The sequence below is a fragment of the Homo sapiens genome, chromosome 2, assembly GCF_000001405.40.
Source record: "Homo sapiens chromosome 2, GRCh38.p14 Primary Assembly".
Classification (NCBI taxonomy): Eukaryota; Metazoa; Chordata; class Mammalia; order Primates; family Hominidae; genus Homo; species Homo sapiens.
The window spans coordinates 20029690-20051941 of NC_000002.12; the positions used below are offsets into that span (position 1 = coordinate 20029690).

Genomic DNA, 22252 nt, shown 5'->3' on the forward strand with positions numbered 1-22252 from the left:
ACATAAACAAATGGAAAAAGATTCCATGCTCACAGATAGGAAGAATCAATATTGTTAAAATGGCCATACTGCCCAAAGCAGTTTACAGATTCAATGCTATTCCTATTAAACTACCAATGGCATTTTCACAGAATTAGAAAAAACTATTTCAAAATTCATATGGAACCAAAAAAAGCCTGAATAGCCAAGGCAATCCTAAGCAGAAAGAACAAAGCTGAAGGCATCACATTATCCAACTTCAAACTATACTACAAGACTACAGTAATCAAAACAGCATGGTACTGGTACAAAAACAGACAGACCAATGGAACCAAATACAGAACCCAGAAATAAAGCCATACAAACTACAGCCATCTGATCTTCAATAAAGTTGACAAAAATAAGTAATGGGGAAAGGACTATTCAATAAATGGTGCTGGGATAACTGGTTAGCCAAATGCAGATTAGAACTAGACACCTTCACCATATATAAAAATAACTTAAGATGGATTAAAGACTTCTATTAGTCTGTTCTTGCACTGCTATAAAGAAATAGCTGAGACTGAATAATTTATAAAGAACAGAGGTTTAACTGGCTCACTCCACAGGCTGTACAGGAAGCATGGCAGCATCAGCTTCTGGGGAGGCATCAGGGAGCTTTCAGTCGTGGCAGAAGGCAAAGGGGGAGCCAAGCATCTTACATTGCAGGAGCGGGAGCAAGAGAGAGAAGGGGGAGGTGCTACACACACAGATCTCGCAATAACTCACTATCACGAGAACAGCAGCAAGAAGGATGATGTTAAACCACGAGAAACCACCCCCATGATCCAATCACCTCCCACCAGGCACCACCTCCAATGCTGGGGATTACAATTCAACATAAGATTCGGATGGGGACACAAATCCAAACCCATATCAAGACTTACATGTAAAACCTAACTGAAAAAACAAAACAAACAAAACCCCTAGAAGGACACCTAAGAAATACCATTCTGGATGTAGGCCCTGGCAAAGATTTCATGAGGAAGACACCAAAAGCAACTGCAACAAAAACAAAAATTGACAAATGGGACCTAATTAAACTAAAGAGCTTCTCTGCTCTGCTAAAGAAACTATCAACAGAGCAACCAGACAACCTACAGAATGGAAGAAAATATTTGCAAACTATGGATATGACAAAGGTCTAATATTCAGAATCTATAAGGAACTTAAGCAAAAAACAAAACAACAACAACAACAACAACATTAAAAGTGGGCAAAGGAGGCTGGGTGTAGTGGCTCACAGCTGTAATCTCAGCACTTTGGGAGGCTGAGGAAGGTGGAACACTTGAGGTCAGGAGTTCGAGACCAGCCTAGCTAACATGGTGAAACCCCATCTCTACTAAAAATACGAAAATTAGCCGGGTGTGGTGGCACACACCTGTAGTCCCAGCTACACAGGAGGCTGAGTCATGAGAATCGCTTGAACCCAGGAGGTGGAGGTTGCAGAGAGCCAAGATCGTGCCACTGCACTCCAGCCTAGGTGACAGAGCGAGGACCCTGTCTCAAAAAAAAAAAAAAAAAATTGGTAAAGGACATGAACAGACACTTCTCAAAAGACATACACATGGCCAATAAGTAAATGAAAAAATGCTCAACATCACTAACCATTAGAGAAATGCTAATAATCAGAGAAATCCATCTCACCCCAGTCAGAACAGCTATGATTAAAAAGTAAAAAGAAACATATGCTGGCAAGGTTGCAGAGAAAAGGGAACACTTACACACTGTTGGTGGGAATGCAAATTAGTTCCATCTCTGTGTAAAGCAGCATAAGGGATTTCTCAAACTTAAAACATTCTACCATTCAACCCAGCAATCCTATTATCAGGTATATACCTAAAGGAATATAAATTATTCTCCCAAAAAGACACATGTACACATATGTTCATCACAGCACTATTCACAATAGCAAAAGCATGGAATCAACCTAAATACCCATCAACAGTGGACTGGATAATGAAAATGTGGTACATATATATTATGGAATACTACAGTCATAAAAAAGAACAAGATCATGTCCTCTGCAGGAGCATGGATGGAGCTGGAGGCCATTATCCTAGGCAAATTAATGCAAGAACAGAAATCCAAATACTCTCACTTATAAGTGGGAGCTAAACATTAAGTACACATGGACACAAAGAAGGGAGTAATAGATACCAGGGCCTACCTGAGAGTAGAGGGTGAGGATCAAAAAACTAGCTATCAGGTACTATGCTCACAACCTGGATGACAAAACACTGACAAAACCCCTGCAACACAATTTACCCATGTTACAAACCTGCACATGTACCCTCTGAACCTAAGAAGTTGGAAAGAAAAAAAATAAGACATAAAAAAAAGATTGCTACAGCAATCACTTTTCAAACCACCGGTATTAATTTCTGTCCTGTGATTCAAGAAATATCTTCACCACAAATTTAGAGTTAATGGATTAAGAAAATGATTTCTAATTAACTGTGCATCATTGTGCAGTTGTCCCTTGGTATCTATGGGGGACTGGTTGCAGGTTCTCCCTCCAGATACCCAAATCCACAGTTGCTCAAGTCCCTTATAATAAAATGGTATAGTATTTGCATATGACCCATGCATATCCTCCCATATTTTTAAAATGATCTCTAGATTACTTATAATATCTAATATAATGTGAATGCTACATAAATTGTTATAGTGTATTTTTTAGAGAACAACGACAAGAATAAAAAGTCTGTACATGTTCAGTACAGATCCAACTATCCATTTTTCCCCCCAAATATTTTCAATCCACAGTCGATTAACTCCATGGATATAGAACCCATGGATACAGAACCCATGGATACGAAGGGCCAACTGTATTCTCAAAGTTAAAAAAAAAATAAACACTGGCACTCTGAATACACTGTAATGGAAAATGTCAGGGTTTATCTTAAAAAAAAGTAACGGATTAAAAACAATGACAACCCTAAGTATTTAAAGAGATTTATTAAATCATCTTATCACAAAGATGGAAACATATACAAACTAGAAACATGCAACCATCATCTTCCACAGTCAAGTCACAATGTCAAATATTTTTCTTGCCTCTGCAGATGAAAAGTTCAGATCTTATACCCAACTACTTACTCACCCCGAATATTTAAGTCAGTCTTCCTGAAAGTACTCAGGGTAGCAAGTAACAAAATGCAAACGATTATATAAAGAAAGTGCAGTTAAAAAGGAAACTATGTGGCAAGTACCCTCTTTCCCTTCCCACCCCCCAATTAAAGGCAAACAATGGCACTTTGCTCTTGCTTAACCTAGATTGTCTTCAAAAACTATTAAAATGTAAAAGACTTAACAAAAAAACAAAAAGACGTTTAACAGATGTCAAAAAGCTCCTTAGTGTTTGAAAATAAATGCTTAAACAAAAGACAACATATTTTATATCAAACAAGTTTGAAGAGCCCTGAATTGCAGCATTCTGTAACATAAACAAACAAAAAGCTGGTATAGGATTTATTGTCAAAGGCAGAATTTCTTCAGGCAGGTAAGTAAGGAGGTGGTGGTTCTTTTTCAGGCATTTTCACGGCCATTTCATAGGTTGGCAAAACGTACTAAAGAGAGAAAAAAAATTGTATCAGATTTAATTCTCCTTTAAAATCCTTTGTGAGATAATTCAGCTTTCAGACTTTATGCCCTAAATAGGGTTATACAAAACCATAAAGAAGAGCTGAAGAAACTGTTAGCTAAAATGTTCCCAAGTAGATGCCTCAATAACCTGGAATTTTACCAAGATTGCTAGCGAAGGGGAGGGTGGAGAGAGGGAGGTGGGGAGAGAGAGTCCTGCTTCTGGACAAGGATTCCTAGACAGGCAGGCAGTGGGTGCCATTGCTCTGCCCTCATTCCAGTGTGACCGATGAAGTGCCAGTGCCAATTACACTTCAGGTGTTGAGGAGTTGGGTTAAACCATGCAATAGGAAACACCCAATAAGACGCTAGCTCCTGGATCCTGACTTTCATCAGAATCAGTTTGTAGTCAGAAGATCATGAACTTATATCATGTCTTCGAGGGTAACAGGCACACCTATGCAGTGGAGGAGTGACATTCTAATCGAAGTGACTCCAAGTCTGAAAGCCTGGCCCTAGATGGGCCACATATATTTTATATGCTGAAAACCTGGGAAGGTAGCACAGCAGCAATTAGAGGGCTGTGAAAGGTAGGCTTCCCCAAAAGACCCATGAAACCACTGTATTCATCTCCCCAGACAGGTCAGCTCCCCCGTTGGATCATATGGATGTTTTCTGAAAACAACACAAGTTTCAGTCAATGGAACTCCCCATCCTTAGAAGCCCCAGGCTACATGGGCCTAACACAGCTGTTTCCTGTCATCTCCCCTACAAACATGACACTAATGAGGACCTCTAATGAGTAAATCTAACAGCCAAACTGGATGAGACAAGCGACCCAGGTACTCAGGATTCCAAGTGGAAAATGTTGAATCCTGTGGATTTTAAGCTGTTCATAAAAGTACCCAGGGTTCATGCCCAAACCATAGGTTACAGCATGAAAGAGAAAGTCAAGCTCCAGGTTCTTCTCCTGGAACAGTCAATAGTGACTGGTGACCTTTTACTCTATCCAACAGTAGCTAACCTGAGGAGGTGCTTCAAAGGCAGGGTACACAGCAATCTCCGGCACGTTTCGGTTGTTGATGTATTTATAGCAGTTCCAAACACAGTTAATTAGATAAGCCTGGAAGAATAAAAACAAAGTTGACATCTGCTAGAAACTCAACAGACTACCTGCTCTAAAATGCCAGTGACTTAGAATGCTTTCCCCACACATCCTCTGTGTAGAAGGGAGCTGACCTCTGTGTGGACCCAGCACAGGCCAGGCCCTTTCCCTACTTGCTCTCATTTAAGTGTCATGAGTTTCATCGCCAACATTTCAGAGAGAAACCAGAGATGGAGCTTCAATTCAGGTCAACCCACTGTGCTGCAGAAGAAATTCTGGGTTTGTGAACCTTGGGAATTTTAACAGATTTTCAATACAAATCATGAACCCCTTTTCAAAAACATAAAAAGTAGGTCCTTTCACTCAGAGAAGGATCCTGACAGTTACAACCATTCCTTGGAAACACAACAGAAACCATTCCCTAGAAGCTATCTCTGCTCATGTGCCAGAATAAACACTGTCCCCACAAATCCTCAATCTCCTGTGACTTGTAAGGTGAAAGGCAGCAAAAAGGTTTAGATTCACAGTGTCAATCTCAGTCACCCCTAAAGATTTAGTCAGCAACGTACCTTAAAAATGATGAATAAGGCAAAGAACACAAGAACAATGAACAGGAGGCAGCTGGAGTCCAAGGCCAGGAGGTCATCTTTGTAGGGAAAATCAGGCTATTAAAGAAACACACACACATTTACAAGTCAGCCATCGCACTAGCACTTGCTGATAACCTGAAGAGCATCTGAAGAATACAAAGGCACCAAAGTCAAAAGTGATATTTAATAAAAATGTATAAGCAGAATTTAATTCAAAGTGCTTTTAAATTTTAAGCCTTATCACCATTAATGCATGCTAACAATCACTTAGAGTACATTTGATAACCCACAATGCTCCAAAAAGTCTAAATTTAGCTCGTTTTCTCTTTACTTTTCACTATTTTCCATCTTTCTGGCCTTTGGAAAAACACTATCGCCTATATGGCACTGGAGATCAGTCCCTGTGTCACTTGCATCATTAACTCAGGAGATGCTCAGTTCTGTGTAAGTTCTACAGATAAACTGGGCCATTTTAATGCTACAAGGGGAAAATTATTTTTCTAAATGTCAATCGTTTGTCTCAACTCTCATCAGACAGGGGCAAAAATACACCCACTGGTTACAATGTCAGGCAAGACATAAGTTTTACTGCAGACATACTCTGTTCTACTGAAAAGCATCAGCTATATTCATTTAAATACTTAATCAGCCCTGACTGTGTACAAGGCAATGAGCTAAGTTCAGGGAGAAAGGTGTTATAAAAGAAGAATTTCAGATTTAAAAACTAACCAACAGAGGAAATACCTTCCAGTCTGAGGCACTAAGTGAACAAAACAGAGGAGAGAAAACACCAGGGTCTCTAAAAGGAATAATAAATTTTTATCTTCTTTTCTATAAAGCTGATTTAATTTTTTTAAGTTATGCTTGTTTTTAATGGAAATGTCAACAAGAAGGCCTAATTACATTTTCATTTAAAAAGCAACATAAACAGAAATCCCAAAGGACTGAAAAAAATAGAAAAAAAAAATTTTAAGAACACACTACTCCCCAAACCCCAGCCAGGTTGTCTCCTTGGGAAAAAAGCTGTTTTTTTGATCTTCATCTATAAACAAAAAGAAAAACACAGAAGGTGGAGCTCATGAGGGAATGCTATGCTAAGGGTTTTACTCAGAAGGCAGGGAGGCACCACTTGAAATTTCTCCCCCGGAGATGACATGAGCAGAGAGCCACACAGAAGCCGCTGACCGTGGCTGACCAGGCCAACAGCCCTGCCCCTGGCCACCTTTCTCCAGGCTTCCCCACCCTCCCTCTGTGTGCCAGCCACCATGGCCAGCTTCTAGTGCCCTCACTATGCTGCTTCTTGCCTCAAGGTCTCTCTTTTATCTGGAACATTGTCTTCTATACTTTCTCTATCTTAATTCCTGTTCAAACTCCTGAGTACAATTCAAATCTCACTTCCCAGCCCAGGTTTAGTACCCATGTGATATCCACTCCCACAGTAACCTACAATGGTGTATCAGTTAACTGTCAACTTCCTGATTCCTTCACCAGGAAGTAAGCTCCACTGATGCATCTCTATGACCTAGCAGAGTGCCTTGCACATAAGAGCAACCAGCGAATGTTTTCTGAATAAATGAATGATGAATTTGGTGGTGTGGAAAATGGGCTAGGCAGGAAATCTGGTAGTGGGAAGAAAAGTTCTGAAAGACAGCACTTTGGAAATGAACTGAGGATACTCCTGCCAATTTTCATCTACCTAGATCCCATATCTCCTTCTGACCACCTCCACGACGCCCTCCTTGGCCACCCAGCCCAGAGTTTTCCCTGCCCCCCTCCATATGACATTAATCGAAGTTCCTTATTTGCTGCTGCTGTGACAGCTCCCGCTTGTTATCACAGGTAACATCTTCATGTATCTTGACTCCCCAAATATTACAGTTTGCTCGCTAAACTGTAATATTCGCAGTTATCTTTATATCCACACCATTCACCAACAGTGCCTAGCAAAGGGCTAAAAACATAGTAGGCACTGGAATACTTGCTACAGATGTCTGTAAAGACAATAAGCTAGTCACTTAAAGAGTGCCATACACAGTCAAATTACTGTACCTTTGGATGCTCAAAAACAAAAGCTGAACTACTAGTTCCATAATATCCATTTCTAGGAACTCTTAATACTGCATTATCCAAATGGATGGTAAGAAATTACTCTACTTTCATCTTGCCAGTTTTGTCACAGTAGCTAAGAGAGCAGAAATAATTATTTTAAGACACTTTCAAAAGCAAGCGGAGTAGTTAAAAATAATACCTAAGGCTGATTCAGAATTTAAATGTAAACATTTTACTCAAAATGAAAAAAAAATAAGTTTAATGAGCATACACACTTACTAGTTGATCCAGATATTCTTTGATTCTTGGCAAATAGGTGAGAGAACTAATAGCAACCAGGCAACTGAGGACGAAGTCAAAAAGTCGGTAACAGAAGAATGGAATCAGCCAACCCACTTGATACTGGAGAAAAAATAACAACCATAACATTGTATCACATATAGGAAATTACTAAGCTCCCCTAAGGTCAAACTCTAAAAGATGAAAATACAGTATACTTACAGAAATTGCTCCATAAACCAGCATTGAACTGATTATAAACATAAGAACAGAGACGGCAAAAAGAACACAGGCATTATCTAAGAAAACAAAAACAAAAATCTAATTAAGCTACTTACACAACAAAAAGAACAAAACTTCACTTAAAGCTAGCTTTAAAATATTAAATTTAAATATTTTCAAAATTGGCTATAAAAAGATCTAAGGCCAAGAGGGTAAAAAAAAAAAAAAAAAATCAAAGTCTCAGCATGAAGTAAGGAACCTTGAGACATTCACACAAAGCACTTATTTGTTAAATCGCTCCAACGACTCACTGACATGGGTGTAGGATGGCACATGAACCACATTCTCTGCTAGAGAAACAGGTCCCTGTGCCCTTATGAGCCCAGGAATCTGAAGATGTGCAAACAGATCATTATAATCCAATGTGTCAAGTGCTACAACAGAGGCAGAAACAATTTGCTTTGCCTGAAGCATCAGGAAAAAATATGAAGAAATGACACAAGATGGGTCTTATGAGTAGGGTTTAGCTGGAAGGAATGGCTGGCAATTGCTTAAAAGACAAGTGTATTAAACTCAGAATGCTACATACATTACCCTTTGCTCTAGATAAATATAACCTGAAATTCAAATTTCGCCATTAACCTCACTTCCCCACCCAACCTCCCAAACACCAAAATTCATTGCTTCCTGCACCCTGGTATCTATGTTAACACACACTACTTTCTTCTTCGTTTCTCAACTCTTCCTCAGGTTGTTCCAACTCTCCATTAATCCATGTTCACTAATTTTTTCACAAAACAGCCAAGTAATCTCAAGCAATTCTAAACCGTGCCTGACTTACTGAATTTCTTAGCACAAATCTGTAGTTGATTCTGTGACTCTGGACAGTTTTTTCTTTCTTTTCCTGAGACAGAGTCTTGCTCTGTCGCCCAGGCTAGAGTGCAGTGGCGCGATCTCGGCTCACTGCAACCTCAACCTCCCAGGTTCATGTGATTCTCTTGCCTCAGCCTCCCAAGTAGCTGGAATTATAGGCAAGCACCACCACATCCAGCTAATTTCTGTATTTCTAGTAGAGACGAGGTTTCACCATGTTGGCCAGGCTGGTCTAAACTCCCAACATCAGGTGATCCGTCTGGGCAGAGATTAAGAAACTGGGGGGGATGGGCACGGCAACCCACACCTGTAATCTCAGTACTCTGAGAGACTAAGGTGGGAAAATTACTTGAGGCCAGGAGTTCAAGACCAACCTGGGCAATATAGCAAGACCCTGTATGCACAAAAGATGTTTTAAAAATGAAAAAAGAAAAAAAATACTGAGGGCACTAATAATGATGAATGACTAGAACAACTGCTGAATATTCCCTATTGGGTAAATGTATATACAACTTTTTTTTTTTCTTTGAGACAATCTCACTGTCACCCAGGCTGGAGTGCAGTGGCACAATCTCAGCTCACTGCAACCTCTGCCTCCCAGGTTCATGAGATTCTTTTGCCTCAGCCTCCAGAGTAGCTAGGATTGCAGGCCTGCGCCACCAAGCCCAGCTAATTTTTGTATTTTTAATAGAGACAGGATTTCACCATGTTAGCCAGGCTAGTCTCAAACTCCTGACCTCAAGTGATTCACCTGCCTCGGCCTCCCAAAGTGATGGGATTACAGGCATGAGCCACCATGCACAGCATGTATATATAATTTATCACTGGGCAGTAAAACCTCATCAATATTTGGCACTAAACTAGGAATAGTCCTCTTTACTTTTTTCTTAGAGGATACAGGATTGATAAATGTTAAGAATTTAAAGGACTTCCCTGCTACAACATGCAAACTTCCACTTAGAAGAATTCAGGTAAAAACAAAATATGAAATTAAACAGGTATTATCAAACTTGAAAGCAAAATTTGTAATTCAAATAATCGGCTTTCAAGAGTCTGCTATGGGCTGGGCACAGTGGCTCATGCCTGTAATCTCAGCACTTTGGGAGGCTGAAGTGGGAGGGTCCCTTGAAGCCGGGAGCTCAAGACCAGCCTGGTAAAGACAGGGAGACCCGATCTCCACAAAAATTTAGCTACTCAGGCAGCTGAGGTGGGAGGATCACTTGAGCTCAGGAATTCTGGGTTACAGTGAGCTATTACTGTACCACTGCACTCCAGTTGGGACAACAAAGTAAGACCTTTTCTCTAAAAAACTTTTTTTAAACAAATAAATAATATAAATGTGATTTTAAAAATGAAGGGCGCTGGCTGGGCGCTGTGGCACGCCTGTAATCCCAGCACTTTGGGAGGCTGAGGCGGGTGGATCACCTAAGGTCGGGAGTTCGAGACCAACCTGACCAACATGGAGTAACTCTAAAAATACAAAAAATTAGCCGGGTGTGGTGGTGTGTGCCTGTAATCCCAGCTACTCAGGAGGCTGAGGCAGGAGAATCGCTTGAACCCAGGAGGCAGAGGTTGCCCTGAGCCGAGATCGCACCACTGCACTCCAGCCTGGGCAACAAGCGCAAAACTCTGTCTCAAAAAAAAAGAAAGGCATTTATCCCATTCATAAGGGTAGAGCCCTCATGGCCTAATCACCACCCAAGGGTCCTACCTCTTAATATCATCACCTTGGAGGTTAAGCTCCAGCATGTGAATTTTGGAGGGACACATATATTGTAACCATAGCAACTTCTCCTTTCTACTAGTAGCTACATTAAAAAAAAAGTCTTATGAAGCCTGCATGCTTATTTTGATTTCAAGGTACATTTTACACATTTCTCAAAAACTTAATAGTCCATTACATTTTCTGGCTAGAAATGCTCTATTGTAATCCTCACTGAATCTCTCTGAAAAACCCATCAAAATACTTTCCTGCCTCAGCAAGAATGACTTAAATATAATTTAACTTGTTACCCTTATTATGTAACCATTTTAACTTTCTGAAATGTAACTTAAGCATAATCTAATCAATCCCCTAAATAACCAGTGTGTGTGGAGACAGACAGACATGGGCCAACAACATTTTGGTCAACAATGGACTGCATATATCATGAGGGTTCCATAACACTGTAATAGTGTATTTACAGTATTACTATATTTTTCCATCTTTAGATACACACCTATTTGCCACTGTATGATAACTGCCTACAGTATTCGGTACAGTAACCTGCTGTACAGGTTTTAGCCTAGGAGTCTCTACCACATCGCCTAGGTGTATAGTAGGCTACGCTATCTAGGTTTGTGTAAGTACACCCTATGATGTTCACACAACAATATCACCCAGTGACATTTCTCAGAATGTGTCCCCATCATTAAACAACACAGGACTGTATATAAAAATTAGCAGGGGAGATTTTTTTGTTTTTCTATTAAACACATACCAGCCATTCTCTCAGACGAATAGTAATTACCGATGACTTCATACTGAATGTTGACAGCTGGCATGGAGTTTGGATGAGTCACTTCCACAGTCAGCAAAATTGCCATCAATAGGTTTACTACCTGGAAAAGATAACATTCTATCAGTTACATTAATTACCATCACGACGCAATCTTAGCACAATCTCTAGATGTCCTCTCATATTTAAGATTGTCTTACTTGAAGTAACAAAGATATAAAATAGTGGGAGACTACCTGTGAGATAAAACAATACGCAATTACCACTATGAGAATAATTTAAAAATAAATATTTTATAAAGTATAAGTAATATTAACCATTTGAGAGATAAGATGCTTAACCAATACACCAGAAAAAAATTAAAACTAAAGAATCATTACAAATGGTTCATGTTCGAAGCTACCTATTTATTCATATACCAATCTCAGAATTTCTGGATTTGAAGAAGTTACTGTTCATCTGTTATATTTATTCATCAGATGCCCGAAACCCCTCCACAGCATCTCTCATCAGGTGACAGAGAACTCACTATTTCCTCTAGAGCTAGACTCAAATGCTTAAGAGACTTACCAAGATACTGAAAGTCACTTATCTACTAGTCTTACTTTTGTGTGTGTGTGTGTATGTGTATGTGTGCGTGTGTGTGATATGGAGTCTCACTCTATTGCCCAGGGTGGAGTGCAGTGGTGCAATCTCAGCTCACTGAAGCCTCCCCTTCCTAGGCTCATGTGATCCTCCCACCTCAGCCACCTGGTAGCTGGGATTACAGGTGCCCACGACCATACGCGGGTGATTTTTGTATTTTTAGTAGAGACGGGGTTTCACTATGTTGGCCAGGCTGGTCTCTAATTCCTGACCTCAAGTGATACACCCAGCCCTAGCCTCCCAAAGTGTTGGTATTACAGGCGTGAGCCACCACGCCCGGCCTTAAATCTACCTTTTGAGATAATGTGCTCTCCCTTCTAAATAAGTGCTCCAATACCTGAAAACAGCCTCCAAATACTGTGTTCTCTAGAATAGACATGCAGATCTTTAAGCCATTCCTCTGACTAGCATGTTTCCTAGCTACCTATTTCCCTTTTGTCTTCCTCTTTACACATGCTCCAGTTTGATGGACATATATTAAAATGAGGTAAAGTCACCCTGGTCAGAACATAATGGGATCTCAGTTCTCATATTCTGGCTAACGAATTTCAATTAATGCAACCTGAAGTTGTACTGAGGTTTTTTGTTTTTGTTAGAAACAAGGTCTCACCATATTGCCTAGGCTGGTCTTGAACTCTTGGCCTCAAGTGATCCTCCTGCTTTAGCCTCCCAACATGCTGTGATTACAGGCATGAGCCACCGCACCCAGCCTGCATTGGCTTTACAAATTTTCTGAATATCACATGAGAGTAACTCCCTAAAACACCAAGTTCTTTTTCACACTTGATTGTGCTAAGCTCCCACCTGTACAGTTGGATTCAGAGGCCCAAGCATAGGCCTTAATATACCTGTAATTGAGTTTCATCTTATTACATTCTTGCCTATGAAGATTTTCTGGATGTGGATTCTGACACACTACAGATTTACTGTCTCAACTTCCTGAATTTAGGATCAGCATGTAATCAGTATTTCCATCTAAGTTACTAACAAAAGAGAACAGAGGTGAGGACAAAGCTGCCAGAGGCTGCCCCTTCCCATTAACTAGCAACTTCTGAATAAAATTGTTTAGCTCTTTAGAGGAACAGCCTGCTGAAATCCCATTATAATATCTGAATTTTCCTAGTCTCCCAGGGTTGTAAATCCATTTTAAAAGGAAATGAGTTGTGCCTGTAGTTGTTGGCCAATCCCTGTGGTATCCCAGGAGGCTTCACTGCATTTAAGTACTCAGAAAGAGTATTGTTAACGACTCAAGACAGAAATCTCACGTAGGATTGGAGTTAGGCTTCCTTATCTAGCATAGTAAAGTTCACAGAATTTGCCCTCCTTCCCTTTGTGAAAATGTGAACATCTGGAATTTTCAAGGGTTAAGTTCCTATCAGTAGTATTTTAATTTATTTAGTTTTTGAGATGGAGTCTCGCTCTGTCGCCCAGGCTGGAGTGCAGTAGCGCAATCTCGGCTCACTGCAGCCTCCACCTCCTGGGTTCAAGCGATTCTCCTGCCTCAGTCCCCGGGGTAGCTGGGACTTTTTTTTTTTTTGAGACCAAGCCTTGCTCTGTCACCCAAGCTGGAGTGCAGTGGCGCAATCTCAGCTCACTGCAGCTTCCACCTCTTGGGTTCAAGCAATTCTCACACCTCAGCCTCCCAAGTAGCTGGGACCTTTTTTTTTTTTTTTTTTTTTGAGACCAAGCCTCGCTCTGTCACCCAGGCTGGAGTGCAGTGGCACGATCTCGGCTTACTGCAGCTTCCACCTCTTGGGTTCAGGCCATTCTCACACCTCAGCCTCCCGAGTAGCTGGGACTACAGGCGTGCACCATTCAAGCCTGGCTAATTTTTGTATTTTTAGTAGAGGTGGGGTTTCGCCACGTTGGCCAGGCTGGTCTCAAACTCCTGACCTCAAGTGATCCACCAGCCTTGGCCTCCCAAAGTGCTGGGATTACAGGTGTGAGCCACTGTGTCGGCCAGCTATCGATAGTATTTTAAACAAACTATTATATACTTCTCTCCTGTTTCACCTTGAATGATAAACACACAGGAAATGCATTTTCCTTTTATCAGCTGAAGTCATTTCACTAACATCCGCTAGATAAGCAGATCAAGTTTTATTTTAGGGTAGGTGATCTAAACAATGCCACAATATGAAATTTGGAATCAACCAATATTTATTGAGGATATGCTTTATGACATGTGTATTTACGTGTATTACTTCACTTATTCCTCACAACAACCCGTGAAGTAAGTATTACCAAAGCCTATGTGTAGATGGGGAAACTTAAGATTCAGTAAAGCTATATAACTTGTGTTAAGCTTGCTGAGCTGACAGATGGGAGAATCAGGACACAAGTCTGGTTTTTAAGACATCCTCCTTCTCAGCACTACGTGATTATTAATAAACATTCCCCAGTAACTCCTATTTTAAGGTCTTTCCCAAAGAAACCATTATCTAAGGCTATAAAATGTTTAGACTTTACTGTCTATGTTCAGCAGCAAGCCTCTTTCCTTGCATTGTTCAGAGGCAAGGCATGATATCTTTCAATTCTTGAGAGGACTTACCAGGAACAATCACTTTTGCAAGGTGGCTCTCCCCAGTTGAAAGCTGATTTTTTTTGTTGCCCACATTTGCTGCAATGGGTTTTGGCCAGCGTGTGTGGTGTATGAGTATGAGCTAATACAACTAGGTGAATTAATTACTGAACTATCAGATATATCTACTAAAACGTTATATGTTCTGTGTATGGAAATCAGTTTGAAATCAATTAGGCAAACTCTTCTTTGCTAAACACAGCATAGTCACAGTGAAAAAGCTCTCTGCGGTACAGAAATTCCTTTGTCAAGAAAAGCATGCAAACCCAATTACTAAATGAAGGGAATGACATGCCAAAAACATTTAGGAGTTCTATTTTCCCTTCTTAAATATTTTTATTACATGAAGGATTTCTAAAAATCTCACACCTATAGTCCCAGCTACTTGGGAGGCTGAGGTGGGAAGGATCGCCTGAGCTCTGGAGACCAGCCTAGGCAACAATACTAAGTCTGTCTCTTAAAAAACAAAAGAACTCTTCACTTTTCTTCTCTTCCATGGATAAGTCACACGCTCATCCACTATTATCTTCTTTTAGTACTAGAGACACTTCAAGTTTAATTTCACTGTGGGTCATACCACTAAATATTAAACAAAATAAATCGTAGGGCCAATCAGAAGGACCAAGAAACAGTGAAATAAATTTCAATGCTACTTCATTAAAAGCTTTTTCCAAATCTTCTTTGAGTTAATTATATTCCATTAGATCACATCATTTCATTAGAACCCCAACTTACATCTTAAAGTATTACACTGGAAAACCCATCCTTGTGACTTAAAAAAATTTTTTTTGTAGAGATGGAGTCTCACTATGTTGTCCAGTCTGGTCTTGAACTCCTGGCCTCAAGTGATCCTACTGCATTGGCCTCCTAAAGTGCTAGGATGACAGGCACGAGCCACCGCTCCTGGCATCCTTTGATCTTAAAGATATTCACCAACGAACGCCTACCTTGTGCTCACATGTAAGCCCTGGCAACTTATCTCTGATTAAAGTTGATATTTCTAAATTACATGTTTAGCTTTTCAAAAAATACATAAAATTAACTGTAATCTTACAATACAAAATTTCTCTGAAAATATCCAACTATGTACTAACTATTACAAATATTTATTCCTGATTCACTTTTTCCTTTCACTGTATTCAGGAAAGAAAGTTAATAAAAATGTAATTTAAAAAGAATGATTAAGCTGGGGACAGTGGTGTGTGCCTGTAGTCCCAGCTGGTCAGGTGCCTGAGGTGGGAGGATTGTTTGAGCCCAGTTCAAGGCTGCAGTGTGCTATAATCATGCCATTGCACACCAGCACAGGCAACATAGCAAGACCCCATCTCTTTAAAAAAAAAAAAAAAAGATTAAATTATTAACTTCTAAACTTGGCAATATGGAGAGGTATAGAATGCAGCAATATTTTAGCAGCATGGGCTGCGGATTCACCACTCAATGTGTTAACAGTACTGTAAATTTAATCAGTCAAATCAGGTGGTGTGCATTGTTTTTGAAAGCTTCTACATCTTATGTAAGTGTGTACAATAAGAAATCTGTTAGATTTGACTTGTTACAAAATAACTGTATCAGATCCATGGAAGCACAGGGCCTGAAGAGAGGAATTCTTTGTTTTCTTCTTTCACTGCCACACCTATTCCAGAAGATTCTCTGGAGACTTTAAAAAAAAAATCATTTTTCAGTTTTCCCACAGTAATTTGCCCAGAGCCAGTATCTACTGAGATAATAATTAAAACAGTGTGTCTGGTTTAAGGAGGCATCCAGATAAGGGCTTCCCATGCAGAGAAAGCACCCACAGGAGGGTCAATCTACAGAACTAAGCAAAGCCTGTTATCTGATAAAGATCAAAATTGACTATCTTTAAAACGTTTTTTAGCCATAAAAAAGGATTAGTTCATGTCCTTTGCAGGGACATGGATGAAGCTGGAAACCATCATTCTCAGCAAACTATTACAAGGACAGAAAACCAAACACCGCATGTTCTCACTCATAGGTGGGAACTGAACAATGAGAACACTTGGACACAGGGTGGGGAACATCACACACCTACACCAGGGCCTGTCAGCGGGTGGCGGGCTGGGGGAGGGATAGCATTAGGAGAAATAACTAATGTAAATGATGAGTTGATGGGTGCAGCAAACCAACATGGCACATGTATACCTATGCAACAAACCTGCACGCTGTGGACATGTACCCTAGAACTTACAGTATAATTTAAAAAAAAAAAGTTTTTTGTTGTTGTTTACTGTTACATGCAGATACAACTGAGTATTCACAATATTTTTTGGAGGAGACATTCATTCAACAAATGTGTAATGAACACCTCAAATGTTTTAATTAATAAGTTAGCCATCACACACATTTTATTTTGAGACAGGGTCTCATTCTGTCACCCAGGATGGAGAGTAGTTACTGCGATCTAGGCTCACTGCAACCTCTGCCTCCCCGGCTCAAGTGATCCTCCCACTTCAGCCTCCCCTGTAGCTGGGACTACAGGCATGCACCACCACACCATGCCCCGCTAATATATATATGTATGTATGTGTGTGTGTATATATATTTTTATATGTTTTATATATATTTATATATTATATATCTATATATAAATATATATTATATAAATATATATATAATATAATATATAAATATATATATAATATAATATATATTTTTTTTTGGTAGAGAGGGGGTTTCGTCATGTTGCTCAGGCTGGTCTCGAACTCCTGGGCAATCCACCTGCCTTGGCCTCCCAAAATGCTGGGATTACAGGCGTGAGCCACTGCCCTTATAAAGACATCACCCTCTTCCCTCCAGGAGAACATCTTGCTGTAGAGAGAAAAATAAGAGAAAAGGACAATCCTACCAATGTGTACTGAGTACTATTTAATAAGTACATACAAGAAGGATCCAGAAACTTTTGCAGGTGCACCGTGAGAAAAACAGATCCCCCTGGCTAGGAAGTAAAGAAAGCTTGGCTGGGCATGGTAGCTCACGCCTGTAATCCCAGCACTTTGGGAGGCCAAGGCAGGCAGATCATGAGGTCAGGAGATCGAGACAATCCCGGCCAACACGGTGAAACCCCGTCTCTACTAAAATACAAAAAATTAGCCCGACATGGTGGCGGGTGCCTGTAGTCCCAGCTATTTGGGAGGCTGGGGCAGAGGAATCGCTTGAACCTGGGAGGCGGAGGTTGCAGTGAGCCGAGATCGCACCACTGCACTCCAGCCTGGTGACAGAGCAAGACTCTGTCTCAAAAAAGAAAAAAAAAAAAAAAGGCCGGGCGCGGTGGCTCACGCCTGTAATCCCAGCACTTTGGGAGGCCGAGGCGGGTGGATCATGAGGTCAGGAGATCGAGACCATCCTGGCTAACAAGGTGAAACCCCGTCTCTACTAAAAATACAAAAAATTAGCCGGGCGCGGTGGCGGGCGCCTGTAGTCCCAGCTACTCGGGAGGCTGAGGCAGGAGAATGGCGTGAACCCGGGAAGCGGAGCTTGCAGTGAGCCGAGATTGCGCCACTGCGGTCCGCAGTCCGGCCTGGGCGACAGAGCGAGACTCCGTCTCAAAAAAAAAAAAAAAGGAAAGTTTTACCACGAAAACATGTGAGCTAACCATTAAATTATCTGGACTTGGCAAAATGTTGTTAATGGTTGAAGCTGGGTGATGAATAAATGGGAGGTTTTCGTACTACTTCACTACTTTTGTATGTATGAAAATTTCCTTAATAAAATTTTTAGAAAGTGACTTGGGAGGACAGCAACATTTCAGGGAGAAGGAATAGCATATGCAAAGGCAGAGGCACAAAACTTCCTTAGTTTAAGGAAGGAAACTAACAAATATAAACAAGCTATGCTTACTTGAAGTCAGAGGTGAGGGCTAGAAAGGAATAGAGCTTAAGGAAACCTGTTTTTACTTCTCTCCCAGATACAGAACTTCAAACTGTTTATGGTTGAGACACTCATGAAAAATTAGCCATATATTAAGTCTAAGAGATAAAATTATTACAAATGCTCAAAATGTAGTCTTGTAGTGCACACCATTAATCACAAAGTATATCTACTACAGCACACTTTTAAGTCCATTTTCAATTATTCAATAAACATTTGAGTTTATACCTCATAAGAAACTTGTTTAAAATCAACTGGCTTCAAATTCTTCAATAAATGATAGAGAAAACCATTTCAGGAATGCCAGAATTTAAACATGAGCTCATTCTGAAATTTCCTGTTACTTAACCAGGTATGCTTCTTTTCTAGCTAAAATACGAAAGGCTCACACTTCAGGGCTGGTACCTCCGGTGCATATAATAACTGGTTCTGGCTTTCTCTATGTCCCACAGCACTATTTTGTACCATACAATGAATATTTTAGTATATGGTGTTACGATACTTTAACACTAGACCAGTAGAAGCCGTGGCTAGAAAGCAATGAGACTGTATCAGATACAGTCACTGATAGCGAGGGAGAGGGGCTCCCCCAAGTTCCAAATGACACAGGGGGAATCATCATCTCAGAAGTCTGTCCCACGTAATGTAAAAAGAAACATAAATATTCTCCCATGCAGACTGAATTATTGCCTCACCAGGAATCAAGCAAGAGAGTACCTTGACAAGGTAGGTAGGGAGGGAAGTGACATTTAATACTCACTCATCCCCATATTGTTTCTCTGTCTTAGTAAAGCAGCTTCTGAGAATAAAATGCACTACTTGGACAAGCCTTCTTTGCTTCGAAGTATTATACTACAGTTTGGCTTAGGTGGTCTTGCATCATAAGTGTTACATGTCTCCCCAAGTTGGTAGAGACTGTCTTTACACTGCTATGGTATTCAAGCTACTCTTTTGAAAGTCATCAACAAAACTATAATAAACAAAACCAATGGCCTTTTTCCAGTACTTATTCTGATTAGAATCTGATATTACTGATCACCTTCTCCTCCTCCTCATCACTGTACCATATGTTTTTCATATCTGTGCTCCAAGTTTGTGATACCATAAATATCTTAAGGGCAGATGCTGTGTTAGACAAGAAACATTTGAGAGTCTAGCACTTAGCAGGTAATAGGAAAACAAGGCAAATGACACATGGCCCCTGTGATTTATTCCTTTTGTTTGTCCACCAAAGCCTTTTACACTGCAGGTGGTCAGTAAATCTCTTAATCAATTTAAGACAGGTCAAACGATTTAAGAAGTTTACAATAAAATGTTTTACACTAATCTGAGAAGTCTATGCAAAGTAAGAACAGCTATGGCATCTTTTTAAAATTGTGAAACTAAAGCATGGTCTTCAGAGGTATGTGAACCCTTCTCACAACAAGGGCTTAAAGTAGGGAACAGATGTAAACTCCTCACTCCCTATTTTGTAAGAATAAGCGCCCGTAATGAAGTTTTTCTCTCTGCATTTTGAGTTTCCTGTTTGTAGTTCCCACTTTATCCTGCTATTCTATTCATTTTCTAGCTGAGCCCACAGCATCAAAAAATCTGCCTGAGAAAAACTGAAAAGAAATACAGCCAATTACATTCGGATGGTTGAAATAGAAATGGTGGTATTCTCTTCTTGAGGAGTTAGGAATCCTTTGTTCTGTGAGTGGAGGGAAGGATCTGAGAAGAAACAGGAAGACTAAGACTGCAGGAGAGAGCCAGGTCGATGGATTCTCTTAGTTAAATAGGAAAGAAAGTCATCTTCTGGGGGTGAGGAAGACGGAATTGAGTAATAGCCTTGAGGATCCTCAAGGTTTGAATTATTCATTTAGGGAAATAGAAGACAGAGCTAAGGACAAACAAAAGAAATGAGACCCAGCCCCTCAGCAAAATGGAGAAGCTATAAAAGGAAGTTAGAAACATAATGCAGCTGATGGTCATTAACTCTATGTTTAGTATTCCAAATCAGTTAAAATACAGAACGAAAGAGTCTCTGAGGGAAAATGTGATATAGTTCTGTCAATAAGGCGGTATTTCCGAATATAAAAGTACAGGAAACATGAAAATAAACTCAGCACAAGCAAACCTACACATTCGTGTTGTTTTTTAAATGTACATCAGAAACAAGACGGTAAAAAACAACAGGGCAGGTAGCAGTCATGTGGAGTCAGGTAGTCCCCCGGGGGTGGGCCATGAAACAGTATCTGCCTCATTTAAGATGATTCTCATCTGGCGTTTGTCCAAATGCTTACTAATGATTTCAAGTCAATGAGTGGGGAGAAGCAGCAAGTACAGAGAAAACAGATTGTGTCTGGGATAACTCTCTTCCTCTTTTGCAGTTAAGTATCAAAAACTGCACAGTATCACCAACGTCACCCACACAACCACATTCGCGAAGTCATTAAAGTGGCCAAGTCGACCATGTAGGAAGTTTGTCACGGCTTCGGCAAAATCATAATAACCTAAAACTACCTAAACTGAATCCCATATTTGGAAGTCATAGACAAGTTAGGTTTAATGTGCATGGATACTATAAATGGTGAATTACAAAAGAAAAAATCACAAACTTATTACTAGTGAATCACCAGGCAACAACAGTGTCAACTTGGTTAGGACAGAATCACACAGATCTTGGAACCCAGGAGATACCGGGGTAGGTGGCCAGGATGGAGAGGGCTCTCAATAAAGGTCTCTGTAAAAACAGCCGGTCGGCTACGAAAAGCACCTACTGCGCAGGGAGGAGGCTGCACCAGGACAAAAGCTGGTCAGGCGTCAACTCAGGCAAAAGCTATCGCCCCCAAGCGATTCTGGAGATGCAAGAGAGGCATGAAACAAAACAAAGTCCAAGAAACGCGGACAACCGGGTTACCGCTGGATCTTTCGCTTTCCCAACGGGAAGACCAATGTCGAAACTAGACTGCGTTTACCAAGGTCCGCTCCTAATTATTTCATTAGAGGAAAAAATTCCAGGGAGCACTGGATAGGAGGAAGGGAGATGCTGCCTTTCAGATCGTAGAAATACAACAAGAACCAAAACAGAGGAATTCCCACCAAATCCTACCACCCTCGTCCCTTCGCCTGCAAAGCCTCTGCTCTCCCAAGCCCGCTTCTCTCCTCAAATTCTTGCCAAAGAACAATCTCCCCATGCTTACCACCGCCCCCCGCTCCCCCGACTCCGATTCCTGAACAAGGTTACTTTCCCAAAGTCCTTGGACTTCATCCAGAGTTGGCGCGCCTTAAAAAGCAGCGCCCCTCCAAGTCCCCGCCCCACCCAACACCCCGTTTCCAGTCTCACCCCCTCCGCACCAGGCCCCGCTCCCCAGGCCCCCCGGACATACGCGCCACGCCTGCCCGCCTTACCATGTACCAGGTCCCCAGGATGATCGTCCCGGTGCGGACATGGCAACAGCCGCAGCACCGGGTGCTGTAGAACCGGTCACTGCGGTTCCGCTTGAAACTCATGGACACCATCGTAACAGGCGGGCCTCCTTCTTGGCCGGGCCCCTGACAAACGTTCTCCACCCGCAGCCAAACTCAAACGGCTGTTTCACGGCCTCCAAAACCCAACGACGCGTCTTCAAACCCGCCCCCGGCTCGTGCCCCTGCCAGCTTCTTCGCGCCTGCGCACTGAGCGCAGCGACTTCGGCTTACCCACCCCTCTTCCTCCACACAGGCCAATGGGGAGCGGAAGGCTGGATGGACCGGACTTCTGATTGGAAGAACTTGGGGATTGACAAGACCTCACGCCCAATTAGAAGTGCAACTCGCCTCAGCGAGTCTCCGCCTGTTACGCGAAGGCAAGGGCTGGTTCTCGGGCCTAGGATAGTTGGGGATAGGTATGTCCCCGTAGTGCACTATTCCCGAGATGAGACCCGCAAGAAAAGAGGCATTT

General features: G+C 41.2%; 1 protein-coding gene across 1 annotated transcript, besides 2 other annotated features; it reads right to left on the bottom strand.

The window, feature by feature from the left end:
- Nucleotides 1–2960: 2960 nt before the first annotated feature.
- LAPTM4A (lysosomal protein transmembrane 4 alpha) lies at nt 2961–21939 on the bottom strand. Its single transcript, NM_014713.5, has 7 exons — nt 21721–21939; nt 11202–11322; nt 7849–7925; nt 7627–7749; nt 5278–5373; nt 4628–4726; nt 2961–3590 (listed from the first exon to the last, which is right to left on the bottom strand). The coding sequence occupies exons 1-7, from the start codon at nt 21829–21831 to the stop codon at nt 3516–3518; spliced, it is 702 nt and encodes a 233-aa protein (NP_055528.1). The 5' UTR covers nt 21832–21939; the 3' UTR covers nt 2961–3515.
- Nucleotides 21075–21214: an enhancer, noted in NCBI's record as "active region_15373". NCBI's record gives its function as "activates an Ori minimal core promoter by ATAC-STARR-seq in GM12878 lymphoblastoid cells {active_cell/tissue: GM12878}" and the evidence as "EXISTENCE:reporter gene assay evidence [ECO:0000049][PMID:35858748]".
- Nucleotides 21750–21949: an enhancer, noted in NCBI's record as "active region_15374". NCBI's record gives its function as "activates an Ori minimal core promoter by ATAC-STARR-seq in GM12878 lymphoblastoid cells {active_cell/tissue: GM12878}" and the evidence as "EXISTENCE:reporter gene assay evidence [ECO:0000049][PMID:35858748]".

Bases quoted from the DNA above. Each gene is read 5' to 3' on its own strand.
- LAPTM4A (NM_014713.5), bottom strand. From the start codon at position 21,831: ATGGTGTCCATGAGTTTCAAGCGGAACCGCAGTGACCGGTTCTACAGC. The intron at 11,323-21,720 runs GTAAGGCGGGCA...TATCTTTTCCAG, and splicing joins TCCTGGGGACCTGGTACATG to GTAGTAAACCTATTGATGGC. The intron at 3,591-4,627 runs GTTAGCTACTGT...TTCTCTCTTTAG, and splicing joins CCTTTGAAGCACCTCCTCAG to TACGTTTTGCCAACCTATGA.